This window comes from Homo sapiens, chromosome 1, assembly GCF_000001405.40.
Source record: "Homo sapiens chromosome 1, GRCh38.p14 Primary Assembly".
NCBI lineage: Eukaryota > Metazoa > Chordata > Mammalia > Primates > Hominidae > Homo > Homo sapiens.
The window spans coordinates 42,804,342-42,807,051 of record NC_000001.11 but is presented as its reverse complement, the minus strand read 5'-3'; positions in this window follow the sequence as shown (position 1 = coordinate 42,807,051).

Sequence of the window (2,710 nt, the reverse complement as noted above, 5' to 3'; positions counted from 1 at the left end):
CATTTGCTCATACTTTAGCAAATGCCTAGCCGTAGAAAATGGAGCACAAAGTAATGTGATAGGTAAGAAAAGTTGAGGTGAGCAGAAGGCACCCTCTCTCCTTCAGGAGCTTGGCAGAGAGGAGAGAAAGAACATGACTGCTTCCGGTTTTCATTCTTCCTGGGGCTAAAACTTTGCAGACCTTGCTGATCTCTAGTTTGTAGGCACACAGATAGAAATATGTGACCCCTTTACTCCCAGATGAGTCACTAGTCAGGGTTAGAGGCCTGAAGCTAGGATTCCCTCACCGGTGATGTGGAGAGCTAGCAGCAGGCTTGCATCAACAGCAAGAGGGGAGTGCAGGTGCTTTTTGTTTTTTGTTTTGGTGGCTGCCTTATCAGACCTAGAAATGGATTTATGGTGGAAATATTCAGACGTCCCTCAGAAACCAGCCACCCGCCCTCCGCCATTCAACAGCCATTTTTAGGTGTAGAAATGTAAGGTTGTTTCTGCTGCTGACATTTGTATCAAGAATGGTAGTTCATACCTGAATGCTTAGCTGTAGAGTTATTTTAATGCTGAGCAAAAGAAGAGATTGTTCTTCCAGGATATTTCATTTCCAGAAATTCCTTGGGAGTAGGGGGAGGAGGACTTAAGAGAGCTGAAAAAATACCACTCAGATGGGGCAAAGAGCCAGACACTGCCACCTGCTTTCCTCTAAGCTGGAAATGCTGGAAACACCTCAAGTTGTCCCTGTCTCCTCTGTCTCCCTGCTGCCTCTGAAGTCACTGAGAATACTTTTCCATTGCTCTGGCATATTTTAGGAGTAAACTGGGGAGTTAATGGGATGTTAAACATTATACCATTGTGGAGAATGTGTTTTTAGAGCCCAAGTTATAATTAAGGATAATCTCTACATAGATTATCTCCATAAATGGTAATTAGGTTCTGTAGCATCCTGCTAAATTTGGTTGAATGGAATTTTGTGTTTTCAGAGAAGTAGGGGGTTGGAGGGAGCTGTCCCTATAAACATACAGAAATACTGTCATATACTAAAAAGAGCAGTTTTGGAGCCAAATGACCTAGGGTACCCAACTACCAGTTATCCTCTCTGAACTGCACTTTTCCTATCTACATAATGGAATGGTATTTTCTTCCTCTCAGGAGTGTTGTTGAGAAATAATGTATGTAATAGATACTCAGTGCCTTAGTTCACTTTGTGCTGTTATAACAAAACCTCAGATTGGGTATGGTTTTTGTGGGTTGGTTGGTTGGTTGGTTTTTTGAGACAGGGTCTGGCTCTGTTGCCCAGGCTAGAGTGCAGTGGCACGATCTCGACTCATTGCAACCTTTGCACCTTTGCTTTCTGGCTCAAGCCATCCTCCAACCTCAGCCTCCTGGGTAGCTGGGACCACAGGCTTGCACCACCACACCTGCTAATTTTGTATTTTTTTGTAGAGACAGGGTCTGACTTTGTTGCCCAGGCTGGTCTCAAACTCCTAGCTCAAGTGATCCACCCGCCTCAGCCTCGCAAAGTACTGGGATTACAGGGATGAGCCAACATACCTGGCCTAGATTGGGTAATTTATGAAGAACAGAGATTGGTTTCTTACAGTTCTGGAAGCTGGGATGTCCAAGGTGGAGGGGCCCACATCTGCTGAGGGCCATCTTGCTACATTATCCTGTGGCTGAAGGTGAAAGGGCAACGGAAGAAGAAGGAGGCCAAACTTCAGCCTTTTATTAGGAACCCACTCCCAAGATAACTAGCCTACTCCAGCAATAACAGACAGCATTAATCATTCATGATGGCAGAGCCCTCATAACCTAATCATCTCTTAAAGTTTCCACCTCTTAACACTGTTGCATTGGGGATTATTTCTAACACACGAACTTTGGGGGACATATTCAAACCATAGCACTCAGAAAATGTTACTTCCCTTCCCAGCCACCTTTCAGATTGTTTCATGGGAAATGTTTTCAGATTTCACATAACCAGGAAAGACATGATCATTGTCTGGAAAGATTCTTAGTTGGGAACTGCTTGTATTAACATCTCTCAGCCTTGGGTATATTCTTGTCGTGGAGAAACACTCTAGTAGGGCACAAGTGGTTGTAAAATCAGTTTAGTAAATTATGACCAGCTTTTCTTTTTAATGAAATAACAAATTAGAAAATACCACATGTGGGGCCGGGCGCAGTGGCTCACGCCTGTAATCCCAGCATGTTGGGAGGCCGAGGCGGGTGGATCACGAGGTCAGGAAATCAAGACCATTCTGGCTAACAGGGTGAAACCCGGTCTCTACTAAAAATACAAAAAAAAAAAATTAGGCGTGGTAGCGGGCGCCTGTAGTCCTAGCTACTCAGGAGTGTTGGGAACAAGCCCCCCAAAATCTGGCCATAAACTGGCCCCAAAACTGGCCACAAACAAAATCTCTGCAGCACTGTGACATGTTATGATGGTCACAACACCCACGCTGGAAGGTTGTGGATTTACTGGAATGAGGGCAAGGAACACCTGGCCCACCCAGGGTGGAAAACCACTTAAAGGCATTCTTAACCCACAAACAATAGCATGAGCGATCTGTGCCTTAAGGACATGCTCCTGCTGCAGTTAACTAGCCCAACCTATCCCTTTAATTTGGCCCATCCCTTCATTTCCCATAAGGGATACTTTTAGTTAATTTAATATCTATAGAAACAATGCTAATGACTGGCTTGCTGTTAATAAATA